Raw genomic sequence first — 22,348 nt, 5'->3', positions numbered from 1 at the left:
TGGTACCAAAGCAGAGATATAGACTAATGGAACAGAACAGAGCCCTCAGAAATAATGCCACACATTTACAACCATCTGATCTTTGACAAGCCTGACAAAAACAAGAAATGGGGAAAGGATTCCCTATTTAATAAATGGTGCCGGGAAAACTGGCTAGCCATATGTAGAAAGCTGAAACTGGATCCCTTCCTTACACCTTATACAAAAATTAATTCAAGATGGATTATAGACTTAAATGTGAGACCTAAAACCATAAAAACCCTAGAAGAAAACCTAGGCAATACCATTCACGACATAGGCATGGGCAAGGACTTCATGACTAAAACACCAAAAGCAATGGCAACAAAAGCCAAAATTGACAAATGGGATCTAATTAAACTAAAGAGCTTCTGTGCATCAAAAGAAACCACCATCAGAGTGAATGGGCAACCTACAGAATGGGAGGAAATCTTTGCAATCTAGCCATCTGACAAAGGGCTTATATCCAGAATCTACAAAGAAATTAAACAAATTTACAAGAAAAAATCAAACAACCCCATCAAAAAGTGGGTGAAGAATACGAACAGTCACTTCTCAAAAGAAGACATTTATGCAGCCAACAGACACATGAAAAAATGCCCATCATCACTGGCCATCAGAGAAATGCAAATCAAAACCACAATGAGATACCATCTCACACCAGTTAGAATGGCGATCATTAAAAAGTCAGGAAACAACAGGTGCTGGAGAGGATGGGGAGAAATAGAAACACTTTTACACTGTTGGTGGGACTGTAAACTAGTTCAAACATTGTGGAAGACAGTGTGGCAATTCCTCAAGGATCTAGAACTAGAAATACCATTTGACCCAGCCATCCCATTACTGGGTATATACCCAAAGGATTATAAATCATGCTGCTATAAAGACACATGTACACGTATGTTTATTGCAGCACTATTCACAATAGTAAAGACTTGGAACCAACCCAAATGTCCATCAATGATAGACTGGATTAGGAAAACTCGGCACATATACACCATGGAGTACCATGCAGCCATAAAAATGGATGATTTTATGTCCTTTGTAGGGACATGGATGAAGCTAGAAACCGTCATTCTGAGCAAACGATCACAAGGACAGAAAACCAAATACCACAGGCTCTCACTCATAGGTGGGAATTGAACAATGAGAACGCTTGGACACAGGGTGGGGAACATCACACAGTGGGGCCTCTCGTGGGGTCGGGGGAGGGGTGATGGATAGCATTCGGAGATATACCTAATATAAATGATGAGTTAATGGGTGCAGCACACGAGCCTGGCACATGCATATATATGTAACAAACCTGCACGTTGTGCACATGTAACCTAGAACTTAAAGTACAGTAAAAAAAATTAATTAATTAATTAATAATAATAAAAAAATAAAACCTAGATGATGGGTTGATTGATAAGTTCAGCAAACCCACCATGGCACATGTATACCTAAGTAACAAACCTGCACGTTCTGCACATGTAACTTAAAGTAAAATAAAAAATAAATAGGCCTGGCACTGTGGCTCACGCCTGTAATCCCAGCACTTTGGGAGGCTGAGGCAGGCAGATCACGAGGTCAAGAGATCGAGACCATCCTGGCTAAAAAGGTGAAACCCTGTCTCTACTAAAAATACAAAAAATTAGCTGGGTGTGGTGGCAGGCGCCTGTAGTCCCAGCTACTCAGGAGGCTGAGGCAGGGGAATGGCTTGAAACCGGGAGGCAGAGATTACAGTGAGCCGAGATCACGCCACTGCCCTCCAGCCTGGGCCACAGAGGGAGACTCCATCTCAATAAATAAATACATAAATATGTTATGAAATATTTTTACTAAATCCTGTAAAATTTGCAGAATAAAAAGATGTCAAGGCCCAGCGCAGTGGCTCATGCCTGTAATCCCAGCACTTTGGGAGGATGAGGCAGGAGGATCACAAGGTCAAGAGATCAAGACCATCCTGGCCAACATGGTGAAACCCCATCTCTACTAAAAATACAAAAATTAATTGGGCATGGTGGCACACGCCTGTAGTCCCAGCTAGTCAGGAGGTTGAGGCAGGAGAAAAAAAAAAAAAAGAAAGAAATGTTTCTTCTGTGCACAGGGCTAAAATAATCTAAACTTGAATCCTATTTATGTCTCAAATTGACCCAACTTATATCTGAGAAAAATCCTTTGAATTAAACTATAGATGTTATTGTAATCTATCTTAAATTCTTATATTTAGAAAATGTGGCTGGGTGCAGTGGCTCACGCCTGTAATCCCAGCACTTTCGGAGGCCTAGGTGGGTGGATCACAAGGTCAGGAGATCGAGACCATCCTGGCGAACACGGTGAAACACCATCTCTACTAAAAATACAAGAAATTATCTGGGCATGGTGGTGGGCACCTGTAGTCCCAACTACTCGGGAGGCTGAGGCAGGAGGATGGCGTGAATCTGGGAGGCAGAGCTTGCAGTGAGCAGAGATCCTGCCACTGCAGTCCAGCCTGGGTGACAGAGCGAGACTCTGTCTCAAAAAAAAAAAAAAAGAAAAAAGAAAATGTATGACATAGTGCTAATAATTTACAGGAGTTTTATGAAAGATTCAATTTTCTACAAATATAATTAATTATTAGAAGTACCCTAATGTATTCCAAAAAAGGAAAATCTACATTAAAATTATTTTAATTTTTGGAGTCAATTCATTATTAAAATTAGAACTTAGTTCCCATTATTTTTATGGTTTGAAATTATTACCGTAATTCTTAAGGTGATAGTTTAAAAGGTAATTTCATCATAGTTTTATTAGCTTGTTTTTCTCCTGGAAACTTTAGATAATGAAAAAACTAAACATGGAATATACTTTTCCTGTCATATCTCATTGAGTTAATACTTTATATGTTTGTGCATTTATATTATAAAATTATAATTTTATACTATGCCCTTTAAGCACAATTATCACAGATATATAAAATGAGGCATTTGATTTATATTTCCTCTTAATATACAAAAATCAAGGCTTTAATTGGTAATGGTGGCAGTGATGGCTAGGTTTCTACCAAGAGCCATCCTCCTCCTTTTTCATTGTAGTAGGTTAGAAGGTGGCACATGGATGGATGATGTTTTCCAGCATCCCTTGCAGTAGATGTCGACTTCATTTTCTCTACTCTAATGTAAGCAACACTAATGTGAGTGGTTTTTAGGCTGGAGCTTTTAAGAGAGAGGATGTTTCTTCTTTATATGTTCTTTCTCTCCTGTCTGCTGGGTACAGGTGACAGTGTGGCCCTAAAGGACGGTAGAATACAAATATAAAATGGTCCAGGCTCCCAAATCAGTATTTGCAGACTAGCTCCTCAAAATACTTGTCCTGCCATTTATATGAACAAGAAGTAAGCCTCTATTGTCTTTGATATTTTACATAGCTCATAAGAATACAGGTATTTTCATTGGAAGGGAGGATGTGGCCATAAAAAAATTAAAAGATGTGACATTTATTTAGTTGACAAGCAGTACGGGAGAAAAATGAACATTAGAATGTGAGATATTTCTGCCAAACCATAATAAACATTTCATAAAGCTGTCATATGAGATAACTTAGAAGGTAGAGCATGATTTGAGCTTTTAGGTCTATGGGAAATAGTTAACAAATAGAAGGTCACTGTGTTTTGACTTCTGTTTGCTGCATTTAGCAAGATATTATAGGGGATGTGGTTAAGCTGGAATTGATAGATTTGTAAAGAGAGGGAAGAAAACAGTCCATAAAATGAGGGCCCTAGGGACTTGAAATGACTAAGCTCACTATTTCATATCACTTCAGTATGTAGTCTCCATTAAGTTTAGAGAGAGAACTGACAGCAAGGTAAGGCACAAAGCAATAAATAACAAAAAAGCCACAACAAAAATAAAAACAATGGAACTGAAATTTATACCTAAATTAGAAATTTAGTTGTGGCATTGGCACACAGAGTATGCTGGAAACAAAACACTGGAGAGAACTACTCAATTTCTGAAGGAATTTTTGCCAAAGAGCTCATGAGCTCTGCCTAAAAAGCCTGTAACTATTCAAACTTTTAATCTTCCGTTATTCTGCCAAACTTCCACAAGAAGAAGAGAATTGTGAAAGCAGTAGAATGACACATTCCCACATGCCCACTGCAGGTATGGTCCCAGGGTAGAACGCACAAAGAAGACCCTCTGATATGGCACAATTGAGAGTCAAAGAGAGAGGGGACACAGAATTACTAAGTGTGATCAGAGAGATAATAGGAGCCAGGTCACATAGGCCTTACATGCCATTGTGAATAACTTGGCTTTTACTCTGAGTGACAATGGGAGGTTTCCAAGGGGTTGAGTTGAGTAGTGACATGATCTCAATTAAAATTTTATCCTTTTTGGAAAGATGACTCTGGCTGCTGCATTGAGAATATACTATAGGGGTCAACCACAGACAAAATGAAACTATTTAAGAAGTTATTATAATTATCTAAAAGATATAATGGTGAGTTAGACTGGGTTAGTATGAGCAAAGTTGTGAGAAATCCTGGGATTCTGCATATTTTGTATATAGAATCCAACAGGCATTCTTTTGGATTGGCTGTGGAGTGAAAATGAAAGGAGTAAGGGACATGGCGTTTTGAGTTTAGTAACTGAAAGGATGGAGGTTTTTTTTTTTTTTTTTTAATCAACTGAATAGGGGAAGCTATTAGAAGAAGCAGCTTTAGGACGGGAGGTCACCAGATAAGTTTTGGACATGTTCAGTTTGAGATATCCAATGAATGTTCAAGTGAAGAGGTGGATAAAAATGGCAGGGGTTCTTGAGAGAAGTCTGAGTTGGATACTTTTGGGAGTTGTCAGCAAATAAATAATATTTAAAGCCACAAACCTGGGAAAGATAACCCAAGAGCTGAGACAGAGATGAGAGTAGGGCTATAGGGCTGGGTCCTGGAGAATGCCAACATTAGGAGTCAAAGAAAAGGAAAGCAGTGAAGGAGACTGAGAAAGAATAACTAGTTAGATAGGACTACATTCAAGAGACTATGGAATCCTACATTATGTTATGTAGAAGGGTGTGTTATGGATATCACATGCTGCTGCTGATAGATAATAATGTAAGATAATGTTCAGAAAGAACTTTTTCATTAAATGAGTTCATGTGGCTATATTATTTCCAATGGAATATGAACAGAAGTGATGTGAACTATTTTCAGGTCAGAGTTTTTAAGATAGCACCTGTTTCAACCAAAGTCTTCTTTTCATTAAGGTGATGTAAAAGATGACATGAGTCTAGGAGATGCTGAAGCCATCAATGTGAAAGAAGCCTGAATCACTGAGTCACCATGTGGAAGAGAGGCAAAAACAAGCCTAGAATACCATCCTGAACTGTTAAGTGAGCAAGAAATAAATCCTCTTGTTTTTAGTGATTACATTTTGTGTCTATTTTTTTTTACAGTTGTTCAGCCTGCTCTAATTAATGCAGTAAGTTAATACAGCTTTCTCCTTAATTTCTCCTCCCATCAAGAACGGTATAATAAAACCTTAACTACTCGGTCATATTATCACTTACTGACAGGTTTTCAAACAGTTTTAGGTTTTTAAGTAAATCAATGTCTATTTTATTATATTTTAGATCACATTAATGGCTTCTCAGACACCAATATGTTGCTCACAAGGAACACTAAAATTTTATTTAGTGATACCACACTGCTTAATAACAAAAAGAAGGAGTACCTTCAAGTTATGGGTAAGTTTAACAGCATCATATCTGATTTCAGTACTGAGGGGCTTTCTTTTACTTTCTACCATATTTTGCTTCCAACGTGCCCTTCTCTCCACTTAATTTTTGAATTTTCTTTATTTCCTGCACTTGTTTTCTCTATCATCTCCTCTCTTTTAGTCTTTTGTTTTCTCATTTTTCTCCCCTTTTTATTTTCCATTCTTTCTCCATGTTTCCATAACTTCCATTTTTTTCCCTACTGTATAGTTCTCCTTTGTTTTGATTCACAAGAAACAAACACCAAAATCTCAGGGCCAAGATTGAAATCCACGGAGAGTATAAATTGGTGTTTTGGATAGTCCACAGAAAACAGGGTGCAGCCAATTAACCAAAGCAGGAGACATGTTAAAATTATCATGGATCTAAGGGCCCCTGATTTAGAATGGATTCTCTTTATATTTTGTTTGAATATTTAACCACAAATTAAGATAAATATATCTTACCAGAAGGTCTAATGCTTTCCTCCTACAAACACTTAGAAAATTGAGAAAAGAAAAATCATATTTTAAAAACAGATGTTATTTGATCTGCAATGTCTTCCAGGTTATCAGTGTCCTAGAAAGAATAAAAGTTATGAAAAGTCACTCATATCCTGGAAGGAAAAATTAGCTTGTATTAGAAGCAATATTATTTCAGGCTATTTTGCCCTGTGCCACCTCTGATTTTCACTCTACCTTGTGCTTCCTTATTCTACACTCTCACTGCAATAATGTGTTACCAGCTCTCACTATTGGCCTGGATCCTACACTTCTGAAAAGACTGGAGTGGAGTGGTGAGGGGTGTGTGAGTGAGTGAGCATGGGGTCAGGCCACTGTGCACAGTCAGGCACTCTGTCTGCTGCATCTGGGCAGGCAGATCCAGGTTTCAGCACAGAGGTTGGCTCACTGCAAGGCTGCTGCTGGACCAGGCGCACCACAAGCAGTTTCCATGGCTAACACCAGGGAATGCGGTGGTGCCTGGAAGCTTGGAGACTCTAGGAACCACAGGGCCCAAAATTGGGAGTCACACCCCTGGCTTGGTGAGCTCCCAAGTCTGCACTCCCAAAAGGTCCACAGATCTTCTCTTGTTCTCTCTTCTCTCCTTCTTTCTTCTCTCCTTCTTGCCACCTGCAACATGGTAAGCAAGGGATGTGTTTCAGCACTGTTTGTGTTACAGCTCTTTTAGCCCACCATTCTGTGGGTCCAGAGTTCTTGCCCTACACCCAGGAAGAATGAGGTATGCAGACAAGTGGAGGGTGAGCAAGACAAAGAGGAGCTTTACTGAGGAACAGAACAGCTCAGAGGAGACCTACAGTGAGCAACTCCTCTCTGTAGCCAGGGTATCCCAATAGGTTTTCAGCTCTCAGCATAGAGGGTAGTTCTTCTCTGCAGCTGGTGGTCCCCTCATCTCCTCAGCTCCCAGCAGAAAGGAGACCATGGCATGGGTAGCTCCTCACTGCAGCTGGTCATCCCATCCTCTCCCCGGTGGCTGAGTCAGGGGCTTTTATGGGCCTCAGAGGGGAGGAAGTGCATACCAGTTGTTCCATGGGTGGTCATATGCAAGCCCAGAAAAGGCACCGTGAGTTTCCGTTCCGGTCCAGGGGACTGGCAGCCAGGCTTCCAGGCTTCAAGCCCTCCCTGTCTTGAAAGTGGGCTTCACTGAGGACAAGCCCCCTTCCACCCAGGAGCCTGTCTGCTTCCTGCTGCTGTTAAAGACACCCAAGCTGTTCATGTCAAAAGACACCAGCAAGCCAGCACCAGGCTGTCCTCAGCTCCCCCTGAGGCTCCCTCCTGTGCTTGTCAGTGCCCAAAGTCTGGAGGGAGGCGACGCGGCAGGGGGCTGGCATGTCAACACTGCTGTGAGCATGTCACAGCCAGCGGGGCTGCTACAGCATCCAAGCTTGGCCCTGACTTTGCTCTGAGACTGGAAAAGGCATTGACAGATGGGAGAAGCCAGGCAGCAATAAAAGGCACTTCTGAGCCTGTTGGGGGCAAGGAGGCTTCCCAGGCTCCAGAGAATGCAGAGTAGGCTGGGTCTCCAGCAGCAGCAGGGCAGCTGCAGCTGCACCTGGGAAGCTCATACCCTGCCAACCAGGAAGGGGCGGGGCTCCCACTTGTCTCCAGTTCCTGCTGGCTCCATGGAGTGTACAGCCTAGGCAGTGCCTCCTCGGACCCTGGGTCAGGGGCTTCAAGTCCTCGCTGGGCCCCTCTCTGCCCGCTCCTCTGTGCTGGACCATGCTGCTCTCCCTCAGACTGGCAGCTCAGCCTGGGCCTATAATGGTGGCTCCCAGGGAGGTGGGCTCAGGGGGTGTTCCCAAGGCAGTCTCCAGGGACTGCCTACCTCCTCTCCTCATTTTCCCTGCAGTGCATATGGGTGAGAGTGGTGACAAGGGTTCAGGGTCCAGAGTGGTAGAGGCTCTGGGCCTGGGAGCAGGTCCTGCCCAGTCGTACAAGGGTGGGGGACAGTTGGCTGCCTTGGGGATGTGGGGCACAGATGTCCCACCGTCACCACTGCTGCTCCCACAGCTGCTCCTGCTGCCACCTCTCACATCTCCCCATTACAGCTAGCGTGATGGCAGTGGCCACTCCAGATGGCCTGCCACTGCCATTATTACCACCTCTGAATTGTGTGACAAAATGGCATGCTTTATGTTTTTCTTACAATTTTGGTGTGGGAGGAGCATTCATATAGCTTTTTCTTTCTTATTTATCTTGTGAACCTGTTCCATTGCCTGAATTGTTTAGGCAAGTCCGACAAACACAATATCCACTACCATTGTAGTTTACTACATAGTAGAATCCAGAACTGACACAACTGCCTTACTAAAGGGCTTCTATGGAACAGAGTTTGGCCTTATTCTTCAACTTTGATTAAGCAAGTAAATATGCCCAATTATCCCTTAAATTAATATTTAAAGAGATGCTTCTATCTTTGCCCTTGGGAATCTAACTCTGTAGTGAAGGCATAATTCAATTTCAATGAGAGGATCTGAATGATGGAATATAGAGACAACACTATAAAGCATAAAAGGAAGGAAACTTGTGATTGTGCATGGGGTTGTCAGAAGAAGCTCTGTGTGGAAGGAGTAATTTTCTTGAGTTGGATATTTCAGAAATGAATACAAGCTTACCAGGTTTCATATGGTAACGGTGGGGAATAGGCTAGCAATCCACGAATGTTATTTGAATGAAGGAATAAAGAGAAAAGCACAGTGGAAACTCAAGAAATACAGGAATCCTATTCTGCAGAATCTTTTCATGCTCAACACTTAATGAAGTAAAACATATTTTTAAATGAAAAAACCACACATATTTCTCTGTCATTGATATATCTATTGCTATTATCTATCTATCTATCTATCTATCTATCTATCTATCTATCTGTCATCTATCTATCTATTGGTTTTCTATACTATTAGTTTAGTATAGTTTCCTAAACTTTTAGCCTTACAACTGGGCAGAATTTCCTGTGATTAAATGATTTAAAATGTTGCAATTCTGTCTTTAACTATTAACGTAGTTTTGTTCCTACTGAGTGCCATTGTATGCTGTACTTATCCTTCATGATTCTGACAGTTGCAATAGCTTTCCATCCACACTTCTTTCAAATGGAGTAAGACTATAGCTCAGAACAAAGAAGCCAGAGGAATTTCTGATTGGATTTTTAAAACTCATGGCTGAGACAATAGATTTGAAATACAAAGCAGGTTTATTCACAAAAGCTGGGAGTTTTGACTTAGAATAAGATTTAGTGCCTAAAAACTCAGTATATAGTTGATCCGTAAAGAACAAAGTCAGGAAAAATAAAAAATAAAACAAAATAAAAGATAACTTTCATGTTACACAAAGAGGAACTTAAAATTCTTTCTGCACCCAAGAATAAATTTTAAGAGAATTGAAGAATAAGAGAACTTAGATGCCCAAGTGAGGTTTGAGACTGCATCATAGCAAGTGAGAAAACAGAAATCCCCTCTTATGTTGTGCTTTCTTCAAGGTACTAGCCGAGGAAAATGCCATGCTACTTAAAAAAGGCCCATTCCATTGAGAAACTAACATTACAGTTACAGTGCCCAGAAAAAGTCTCCTGAGAATGAACTCAGTCCAAATTGTTAAACTTCTGAAAGATAAATAAAATGATTCGGAGTGGAGCAGAAGGCTTTCAGGAGTCAGGGGTTGAGGCCAGAGGAACACACCTAAAATTACCTCTGTAGATCTGATGACCAGAGCCCATGAGGGGTCATAAGAAGATGCAGGCAGAAACTACTTTCTAAGGATTGTAAGGGTGTTGATAACTCACCAGTGGCCAGAAGAGGAGAGGCAAGGAGAAGATGACTCCTCACCAATGCCATGGCAAATCACAAGCTTCCCCATCCATCCCCTACTCAGAAAATTACATAACTGAAAAGAATGAGGGAAAGAAAAGGGTAAGTGTGATAATCCTGACTTGACCAAATACCCATAAGAAATTTAGATTAACTAGGATTTTAAAAAATAGCTTTATTAAAATTTAATTTATATACCATACAGCTCACCCTTTAAGAGTATGTAATTCACTGGCTTTTGGTATATTCACAAAATTGTGCATTGATCACCACTATTTAATGTCAGGATCTTTATATTCTTTTAGATTAAATATGGATGTGGAACTTTTAAGACAAATGAATAATTTGAGAAATTCAATTCTGTTGTCTTAGGGCTAAATTCACTTGAAAACAAAAATTGGTGGCTTTTGGTAAGGATGATGTTGTAAACATTTTGTCTTAATATTCTGAGGAGACTATTTGCAGGGCCTTCATTGCAGAATTGCCTACCTTATTGAAGCATATTCTTCTTTCAGATGTAATTCACAATCAGGGCTTTCATTTATTCATTCAGCAAGTATTTATTGAGCCTTTACATTTTGCCAGAGTCACTGCTAGGCCCTGGCAGTTCCAAATCAAGTGAGATTTTCTCAGAAACCCTACGGTCACGTGGCTGGAGAGATTGCTAAAGCCATTCTGGCCTTCATGATGCCATCTTGATGCTATGCTTGGGAGGCACGAGGTTGTCAGTGGGGATCCCATAACTATGGACTTGCAAGAAGGAGCTGACTGTATCTGTAAAGAAGATTCTGAGAACCATCTGAATGTTTCATGAGAGACCCAGATTTTCTTGGAGGTTGATTTCACACAGATACAGGAGAAACTGCTAAGCTGTTCTGAGAAGTGGATGTAGATTCTGAGAAGTGCAGTGAAGGTCCTGTAGTGTAATGAGATATGAACAGAAAGATTCCTACTGCAGTGTGGTGTGCCTCCTCACTTCCTTCAGATCTCTACTTCAATATCACTCATCAGAGCAGCCTTCTAAGACCATGTATCTGAAGTAGAATCCTATCCTGCTCCATTTTGCTCTGTTTAAATAGCAAATATTTTTGATAACATCAGAGGGAAGTGAATTCACAGGTTGAGTTAAAATGAGAAATAGAGGTACATTTCTCCACACCTGGATTTTGTGACTGTTGTGGTGGTGACGTTTATGCCAGCTACTAGCAAAAACAACCATTTAGAGAGTACCTCCAATGTGCCATACATGAGTTAAATGTTTATATACACTATTCATTTTATTCTTATGAGATAGTAACAATAGTCACCAATTTACAGGGAAGGAAGCTGACATTCCTGTCTCATGTTACACAATCTGCAAGTAAATTGGGTAGACGTAATTCTAACAAACTTGATTTTAAATTCTTAATTACTATGAAAATATACCTTTAGCAATGCACTCACAACAGAGAGAAAGAGGAAAGGAAATTTAGTGTACATTAGTGATGCCAACAACCTTGCCCATGAGTGAAAGGAAGGATGTCACAATCAGCTGTAGTTCTAGCCCAGAATATACATTATATAAACATATATAATAATATTAATTATATAAAATGCATAAACATATAATAACATTCACTGATAAGCAAGAAATCTGTAACTCATTTTTTTCTATTGTGCCACTGTATGCTGCTATGATAATAACTGCCAAAATTAGAGGTCTTACCAAGCTAGGTATTGTAGAACCAAGACAATGGTAAGAAGTTGAAGGGAAGAATGTAAGAAAATAAATGCAAAGCAAACTAAAACCACAAACCAACACAAAAAAACCCAACTCCAACTAAAAAAAATTAAAACACAACTAATGAACAAAAAATACATAAAATATTTACTTTTCTACGAACTTAGAAATGTCAAAAATAGTTTGTCCCTGTGGAGCAGTAACACGTTTAACTGGGGTTTTTCAGATTGCTTTAATGGAATAGAGATCCAGCATGAAGCCGACCTGTTTCTTAACACAATTTGTCAAATATGTCGCATTCTTATTACTCAAGGATGTCCGTGGATGGAGCAGTGGAATAAACCTCGCCTGAAAGCTTGTGAGACATGCCAACTCTCAGGCACCGTGTGAGACACACTGAATCAGAATCTGCATTTCAATGAGATTCCCAAGGAATTTGCATGCACATTTATGTTTGTATGTACAATACAGTTTGTTTGAAAAAAATAAGGCATGCTAATTTTTATCAGAGATAATATATTATCAAAATTAAACTTTTTACCCTAATATGCCACTCGTGGGCATATGGTTCACAACATTCTTTCTGCCTTTTATGCCACTTTGCCCCTTCTTTAGTTAATAAATTTGATTCTCCTCATACAACCTGGGTTCCCCGTTCTTTCTTCTTAGGTCAAATTTGGTTGTTCTCTTGTTTATGTTACCATGAAACTTAGTTTAGGTAGCTCTAGCAATGTGTTTGCATTGGATTATAATTCTTTGTGTCTCCCACAAGAAGTCATTCTTCCCATTTTCTTCATAAGTGAGGTAAGATATAATTTGGTCATCTGATTATTTCTTCAACATACATTTTATTTTATATAAGAACTTCTAGTAGAAGATTGCTTTTGTTCTATGACTTATTGAATTCATATATTTAAGCTTTGCTTTTAAGGAATATGTTATAAATTAGATAGCTTTTCTTATATTCTGGAGTCATTTGTATTGTATTGCTAGGGATGTGGATAGCACACACCTTTTAAATTACAATGTAATATAGGCTTGAATAAGTAATTCAGACATCACTGATAAGTACTAAGATGAAAAGTGACAATGTTATTAACCTACTCTTTCCTCATTAACCTCATTCTATGCCTAAGAGGTAATAATATTAACAGTTTGGTATGTATCTTCCACACTTTTTCTGTATGCATTGATACGTACAAAATATTATTGTTGGCTAACATTTTAAGTGCTTACTTTTGACATCTCCTTTTGATATATATAATGACAATATTTCTTCAAATCTCTTGTCTTTTATATATTTATGGCATCTTTTGCAGTATGGGATATTAAAACTTATGTAGTAAATTACGTTAATCTTTATGGCATCTGTTTTTTTCCCTCATCTTGTGCCTTTGATTCTGACTGCCAGAAGTGTATTTTACTGGACTGCAATTACCCGGATCGTATCTGGCTTGCCTTCTTAAAATCATGTTTATTCATAATTATCCAGTACTGGTGCTGACACATTAGAAGGACCCAGTAGACATTACTGGACTGACTGACTACTTTTATACTAAAATGAGTTTCACTAATTGAATATATTTTAAATTCTATACCAAATCTCACTCTAAAATCCTATGGAGTGGGTGACATATTAAGAACACTTGAAATGATTAAGCAGAACCTCCATAATTAAGATAAATTTTATTATCTATCATTTTGAAAATTATATCTTAATCCATATCAGAATATACTTATCCTTCAAGCTTTGAAAACTTGATTCTGTTCAGAGTGAACTTATTAGCAGAGTTCTTAAATGAGAGGCTAGATGCTGAAACAAGACTATTTGCAACATAGTTCTCATGCTGTGAAATAAAATTATAATATAAGAGTGATTTCATTTTCTTGCATTTGCTAATTTGCTAAAGAAATCTGTAATTTTTTTAAATGTAAGAGGATTCATAGCTAATGCTATTATTGAAACAGCACAAAACCAGTTGCTGTTATTTAAACATAACAGCTAATGACTTACAGCACTAATTCCCAAACTTCTGTATTTGAAACATGGCTGTATATCATGACACATTTCTGTAATCGTCTACTACTTTTGAAGGCAAACACAACTATTCAAAGGTATATGGGAGTTGGGGGTGGGAGTCACATGTGGGTATGGGAGAAAATTTTCTCTACCAATAAATCTTTTTCCACCCATATTTACTATTCTAAAATCATTATTTATTTATTTATTTATTTATTTATTTATTTATTTATTTATTTTTTGCGGTTTTGGGCAGTTCAATGTACCATTCATTTCCCATTATGCACATTCATGGATACAACATTAAACAGCAGCCACCATACTTGGCAGGCTCCATATTCCACCTCATTATATCTTTACAACAAATGAAAGTAATAAGTGTTTCCCTATCATTTGACATTTGAAAAAATTGGTGTTTGAAGATATTAGGCAACTTGCTCAAGGTTACATAGTGAATAAATGGCAGATCTAGAAGTGGAACTCAGCTCTGTTGCACTGCAAAACTCATGTTCTTTGTTTTATTCTCCTAGGAGTTTCCATTCTCCCAGCAAAATCTGATTTTTCCCAGTGCTTACAGTGTCCCTTATAAGAGTCCAACAGTTTCAGAAGAACTTATTTTCCCCTTTTTCTTTTTCTGTTTGCTTTTTTTTGGTTTCATTCTCCCTCCCTCTCTCTTCTTTCTGGTCTCTGGAAACCACTAATCTACTCTTTATCTTCATGAGATCCACTTTTTACCTCCCATATATGAGTGAGAATATGTGATGTTTGTCTTTCTATGCTTGGCTTATTTCACTTAACATAATGACTCCCAGTTCCCTCCATGTTGTTGCAAACAAAAGATTTCATTTTTTTATGGCTCAATAATATTCCATTGTGTATATGTACCACATTTCTTTATCCATTCATTCATTGACAAACACTTAGGTTAACTCCATATTGTGAATAATGCCACAATAAACATGACAATGCAGATATCTCTTGTATTTATTAATTTTTTTTCCTTTGGATGTATATTCAGCAATGGAATTGCTGGATTATATGGTAGTTCTACCAAAGGCTCTTACTTTTAGTTTGCCTACTAAAACACAATGAGGTACCAGGATGAAATTCAAATAAAGAGAGCAGAAAATTTTATTCACTATTGATCCAGAATTAAGACAGGTTAAGTGTTTTTGAGGTTGGCTACTAGGGTCATAGCTCTTGTAAGAGGAACAAAGTTGGTGGTACAGCAGGAGGCCTAGTCATCATCAGCAGCATCTGATGTGGTAATCAATGTCAATTTTTTTCTATCATTATTCCATGAACTTGCAATCAGATAAAAATACTAATTTATGACATGTTTGGTGGGAATTAATTTTTACTGAGAATGCTTGACAAACTGAATTTTGTAAAATGTTGTGGGCAAATCTTAGCAAGACTAAAATAACCTTGAGCCAAAGTAGAAGCAGATATTGGAATTGAAGGTATTGGAAGTGTTAGACTCTCCTAAGTTTTGAAATTGTGGATTTGAGGCAAGATTGCCTAAATCCTCAAGATGGCAGGAACCCCCAGCATGTTTTTACATCACCTTCAACACCATATATTTGCCTCTGGAGAGAATGAAAAGCAATGGGATTATTGTTTAAGCCATGAATACTATCTACCTGTCAAGTTCCAGCACAGTGCTAAGAGTTTAAGATAGAGTGACACAGAGTAGTGACTGAGACAAGCAGGGTCCAGAACTCCTGGTGCTTTTCAGGTGAGCGGGAGTAAATGACAATGGCAATAATTGTAGCAAGAGGGCAGCTACAGAATTGTCTCAGAACACATCATATTTCTTCAGTTTTAAGATGCCAAAAATTACCAGGAATACCACTGATGTAATCTTATTTTTTTAAAAAGTTTTTAAATAGAAAAAGAATACTTTTTTTTTTTTTTGTGGTTGAGACAGAGTCTTGCTCTGTCATCCAGGCTGGAGTCCAGTGGCAAGATCTAGACTCACTGCAACCTCTGCCTCCCAGGTTCAAGTGATTCTCCTGCCTCAGCTTCCCGAGTAGCTGCGATTACAGTTGCGCGCCACCATGCTCAGCGCAAATTTTTTTGTATTTTTCGGAAAGATGGGGTTTCATCATGTTGGCCAGGATGGTCTCGAACTATTGACCTCATGATCCACCTGCCTTGGCCTCCCAAACATAAATACTATATTGAATGTGCATATCAATTAGAAGATGAGTCTGGATTTCAGAAATGTTTGAATGTGGCTCAGAATTAAGAACATCAGGGAAAATTTTCAAGGGAATTAATATTTAATTGAAGGCTAGAAAGATGAGTAAAAGCTGGAAGTTGTTGATGCATGGTGGAGATAACTGAGGAAGACATGCAGCAGGCAGAAGGAATGACTTAGCTAATGTTCCTAAGATGAAAAAGAACAGTGAACTAAATAGTGCAGAAGGACAGACAACCCCTGAGGCTGGTCATCAACATCAATAAGTAACTCATAGTAAAGTTGAAGAGCTTGCCAGGATTCAATATATGAAAGACTTGTATATCATGACTCAGATTTCATACTAAATCCACTAAAGAGTTTTAAATAGGGGAATGCCATGATCTAACAGCTATTAAAAATGTTATGAGTTCAATGTGAAGAATGAATTGAACTGAGACAGAAGTCAGTGTGGGGAGATACCAATCAGAATGGCATTAATCCTTTTCAGAGAGAGGGGATTCTATGCCACCTGCTTTGTAGGGTTACAAGGAATTAGATATATTTAAAATACATGAAAAATGTGGAACCAATTAAGAAAGAAATTTCTGAGTGTAAGTTTGTTAGACAATAGGTTATCTATAGTGATGTTTGAGAATCCTTATCTGTGGAATACTATACACCTACAGCAGAGTATGTAGCTAACAGCTGGCCAGGCTAGTGCACAGCCCCCTGTAGAGTTATACATCAATCGGTGAATATACACCCCACACTTGTGCAACCAGTATTGTTTGGTTGATGAAAGGATAACAAAATTCAGAAAATAATTACTATATGTTATTGATCTCTATAGTATGAAAGCTGATAAAAACAAATAAACAACGATCTAATGAGTTAGGACAAGAAAGGGTATGTGTTAAAGGAGTGAGGGATTGAACTGGACATTGAAAAATAGGATTTCAAGAGGTTAATGCAGAAGGCTGAGGCATTCTTCATGGGAAGAATAAACTTAGAAAAAGGAAAAAAACACAAGTTGTGTCTGAGACATTAACTTAATGTAAGTGAAGCAAATGTTACATAACTGGACATTGATCTTGTCTTTCTCTCCCTTATGTGCCATGTAAAATCATTCACATAATCACAAAGGCCTATCCATTCTGCTTCTGGGTAGCTCTCAAATCTACATTCTTCTGAAGTGTTTTTCTAAAGTGCATACCTAATCATACTTTTCATGTGCTTAACATCCTTCAACATTTCCCCCATTCTCTGTAGAGAAAGTCAATACTTCGTAATATGACTTATGAGACCTAAATGACTCCATGATCTGTCTCATGCTTAGCTCTCTGGTCTCTTCTACTACTCAACCTGCTTCCCTCTCTTTTCCACTATGAGTACTTTAGCCAGAAGAGATTTCTTTCCTTTTCACCGACATGCCAAGTTCTCTCTTGCCTGTCAAATGCTGCACCTAATTTTTCTTTCTTCTGGAAGCCTTCACTCCTTTATTTATCTTTATCCCCTCATTTTTACATCACTTTCTCGAAAAACTTCCATATTTCCTTCCACAATGAGACTGAGATAACAGCTTCCCCCTTTGTTCCTTGTTAACCTCTTGTTTTTATTCTTATCTTAGCATTTTCACCATGAATTCCTTGCTTGTATTCATATTTGTATCTCCCCTGAAACAACAACAACAAAAACAAACCCTATAAACTTCCTAGTGTATACACTAACTTACATTTCCAGTATTTGTAATAATACCAGGAATTTAGGAGACGCTCAACATGTGTGCTTTGAATGGATGATTGGTTGAATGGTTATCATTTTGAGAAGTGAGGAATTGGCTTGGCTATTTGGAGATCTCCTTATAAGAGCCTTTAGATGCAACTTGAACAAGGTTCGTGTTTTTATTATTTTTATACTAGGGGTCTGCAATCATAAGCCAAATCTGGCACATGACTTACTTGGTTATATCCTGTGAGTTAAGAGTAACGTTTACATTTTTAAAGAAATAAAGAAGGAGGAGAGGAGAAGGAGAAAAGAAGACTGAGATTTTATGTGATCCATAAAGCCTAAAATATTTACTATCTGGCCCTTTACAGAAATTGTTTACCAGCGCCTGTTCTACAAGAATACGTAATATGCCATCTTTGTAAACATTTCCCTAGAATAATGTTGATATTGATGTGCTTTTAACAACACTTGGCTACTTATATACTGAGTCTCTACTGGTCATGTTTTCAGTGTTATGATATAGCAGCTAATTTTCAAATATCCTATTACCTAAATTATTTCTCATTTATCTGTTAGTTTTTTTCCAAAAATCAGGGAGATGAACTGGATTACTAATTTTTCATTACTTGTGCTGATATGGTATCATAATAATACAACTAGGTTTAAGTTATGAGGTCCTTCATATGTAAAAAAGAGAAATGGGAAGTGATACTTCTTAGATTTACTTTTTTCAAAATGAATCCATTTCTTTCTCAAAATAATGCATAAAACAAGTAATATACTTTTTGCCACTAATTTTTTAGTGAGTATACTTCCTCACACATCATAGTTATCAAATAAATGATTGGTGGATGACTGGATGAGTGAATGAATGACCCAGATGGGGTATACTAGTTCAGAGAGTGTAAGTAAATTAGTCTCAGTCATATGACTAGTAAGTGACTTAATTGGATGCTTCAACCTAGGGCTTCTCCTAAGGCCCATACCATTTTGTGTTGCTCAAATAAGGGTGCCTTTTATCTTAAACCTTCCTTAATGAACATGACAATTATAATATATTCAAATATTTTAATATTCATATTTAATATTTATTGAGCTAGGTATTATTATAAGAACTTTACATTAACATATTTATTTAAACCCCACAAAATTGGATGGAGTAGAAAATATTACCAAGTCAATTTAATAAACCCGAAATGGAGGCACAGAAGGAACTAAACGCTGCCACAATCAAACTGTGAGCAAAGCCCTGATGTGAACCACCTTCATTTTCAGAGCTCTTATCTACAGCTGTATACAACTGAAGACTTGCTTTAGGGTACATACCTACTGTTATGTGTATAGCACTATGCTAGGTAATGTTTGCTTAATGATTAGCCTCCCTTTATAATCATAGTGCAGGTTAGCATAATTTTCCTCTTTTGCAAGCTGTGCAATGAGTTTATTTGTAAATCAATACAAATTCTATGGAGGATGAAATTGAAACTTAGAGGTTAAGTCATGTATTTACAAACGAATATTAGTATAAGTAAAATGGATTCATAGACCTTAAAGAAATATGCTATATCTTTTTCTCACACTAACATCTTACGGTTAGTTCCCAAATTAGAGATCCTGAGAATTGTGCTTTTACTATTTATTGTCTTCAACTTGGTGATAAAATATCAGTTTGATAATGAAGCAAATATGCAATATTTTGAAGAAAGCACAGTTTCCAATTGAAAAGTTTTTATATATAGTTATAGATAACCAACTACTTTTACTGACAATAATTTTAATTTTTATAAATAATAAAACCAGTTATGTAGCAGAAAATATCTTTATTTTTGCACTGAGAAAGTTATTTGGTGATATCAGAGTGATACAAGTAATGAACTTGTACACCTGCAAGAAATGATACTTACAAAGAATGTCTTTTTGTGTTTTACTTATTTTTAATTTTAATTATTATGGGTACATATTAGTTCTATATATTTGTGAGATACATATGATGTTTTGATACAAGCATACAATGTGTAATGATCAAATCATGGTAAATGAGGTATTCACCACCTTAAACATTTATCAATTCTTTTGTGTTAGAAACATTCTAATTGCACTCTTTCAGTTATTTTAAAATATACAGTAATTATGGTTAGGCATAGTCACCCTATTGTGCTACCAAATACTAGTTCTTATTCATTCTAACTGTATTTTTGTACCCATTAACCATGTCCACTTTATCTCTCCCTTCCTGTTGTCTTTTCCAGCCTCAGAGAACCATCATTCTACTCTCTACCTTTATGAGGTCAATTTTTTTTTTAGGTCCCACATATAAATGAGAACATGTGATATTTGTCTTTCTGTGCCTGATTTATTTTGCTTAACATAATGTTCTCCAGCTCTATCCATGTTGCTGCAAATAACAGGATTTCATTATTTCATTTAATGACTGAATAATATTCCATTGTTTACATGTATAATAATACCACATTTTCTTTATCCATTCATCCATTAATAGCACATCACCTGATTTTATATCTTGGCTATTGTAAATAGTGCTGCAGTAAACATGGGAATGCAATTTATCTCTTCAGTATACTCATTTCCTTTCTTTTGGATATATACCTAGTATATACCTAGCAGTGGGATTGCTGGGTCATATGGCAGTTATGTTTTTAGTTCTTTGAGGAAACCCCATACTCTATAGTGGTTTAATTACATTCCCACCAAGAGGGTTCCTCTTTCTCCACATCCTCATCAGCATTCGTTATTGCCTGTCATTTTTATAACAGTCATTTTAGCTAGGAGAGGATGATATCTAATTGTAGTATTGATTTGCATTTCTTTTCTTTCTTTTTTTTTGAGACGGAGTTTTGCTCTTGTCGCCCAGGGAGGAATGCAATAGCTTGATCTCGGCTCACTGCAACCTCCCCCTCCTGGGTTCAAGCAATTCTCCTGCCTCAGCCTCCTGAGTAGCTGGGATTACAGGCACACACCACCATGCCCAGCTAATTTTTGTATTTTTAGTAGAGATGAGGTTTTGCCAGGTTGGCCAAACTGGTCTCAAACTCTTGACCTCAGGTGATCCAACCTCGGCCTCCCAAAGTGTTGGGATTACAGGCGTGAGCCACCGCTTCTGGCCTTGATTTGCATTTCTCAGATGATTAGTGATGCTGGGTAGTTTTATATACACCCATTGGCCATTTTGTATGTCATCCTTTGAGAAACATTTATTCAGATCTTGTGCCCATTTTTAAATCAGACTATTTGTTTTTTCCTATTGAGTTATTTGAGCTCCCTATATATTCTAATTATTAATATTTTGTTAGATGAGTAGTTTGCAAAAAAAGACTATCTCATACTGTTTGTGATTATACGTGCATACAAATTTTACATGGTGATTACATATATAGATTAGAACAATGTGTAATAAAATTTATCCAGGTTAGATTTTGAGTATAGATCACATAAAAAACAAGGGTATTATGTTACTGTCTTGTAAACTACTAAATTAAAGGTAAAAGAATATTTAAGAGACAAATCAATAAGGTCAAAATAAGGGAGGTAGGAGAAAACAACAATAAAATTATGGAAGTTAAATTTTAGCTAAAAATGGTGCCTGACTTATAAGAAGTAAGACAGCGGTATTTTTTTTTTAAATTATACTTTAAGTTTTAGGGTACATGTGCACAACATGCAGGTTTGTTACATATGTATACATGTGCCATGTTGGTGTGCTGCACCCATTAACTTGTCATTTACATTAGGTATATCTCCTAATGCTATCCCTCCCCCCTCCCCCAACCCCAGAACAGGCCCCTGTGTGTGATGTTCCCCTTCCTGTGTCCAAGAGTTCTCATTGTTCAATTCCCACCTATGAGTGAGAACATGTGGTGTTTGGTTTTTTAAGACAGCGGTATCTTAAAATGGCAAGTTGAGGGCTGAAAAATGGCCCAATTTATTCCACAGAATGGTTAAAAGTTTTCTGAATTGAGGGCACCATATATATGTAGTTTCAATTATTTTATATACGTGTTTGTGTATATATATATATATATAATAATTGCAACTTTTATTTTGGATTCGGGGGTACATATGCAGGATTGTTACGTGGGTATATTGTGTGATGCTGAGGCTGGGGTATAAATGATCCCATCATTCAGGCAGTGAGCATAATATCCAATAGGTGTTTTTTCATCCCCTGCCTTCCTCCCTCTCTCCCTGCTCTAGTAGTTCCCAGTGACTTTTGTTTCCATATTTATGTCCATGTGTACCCAATGCTTAGCTCCCACTTTAAGTGAGAATATGTGGTATTTGATTTTCTATTCCTTAGGGTCATGGTCTCCAGTTTCATCCATATTGCTGTAAAGAACATGGTTTTATTCTTTTTTATGGCTGCATAGTATTTCCTGGTATATATGTACCAAATTTTCTTTATCCAGTCTACTGTTGGCAGGCACCTAGGTTTATTTCATGTTTGATATTGGGAATATTGTTGCAAGAAACATATGAGTGCATGTGTCTTTTCTGTAGAATAAATTATTTTTCCTTTGGGTGTGTACCCAGTAATGAGATTGCTGGGTCAAATGACATTTCTGTTTTAAGCTCTTTGAGAAATCTCCAAATTGCTTTCTGTGGTGGCTGAACTAATTT

Source organism: Homo sapiens, chromosome 8, assembly GCF_000001405.40.
Source record: "Homo sapiens chromosome 8, GRCh38.p14 Primary Assembly".
Lineage (NCBI taxonomy): Eukaryota > Metazoa > Chordata > Mammalia > Primates > Hominidae > Homo > Homo sapiens.
Note: the sequence above shows the minus strand (reverse complement) of the source record.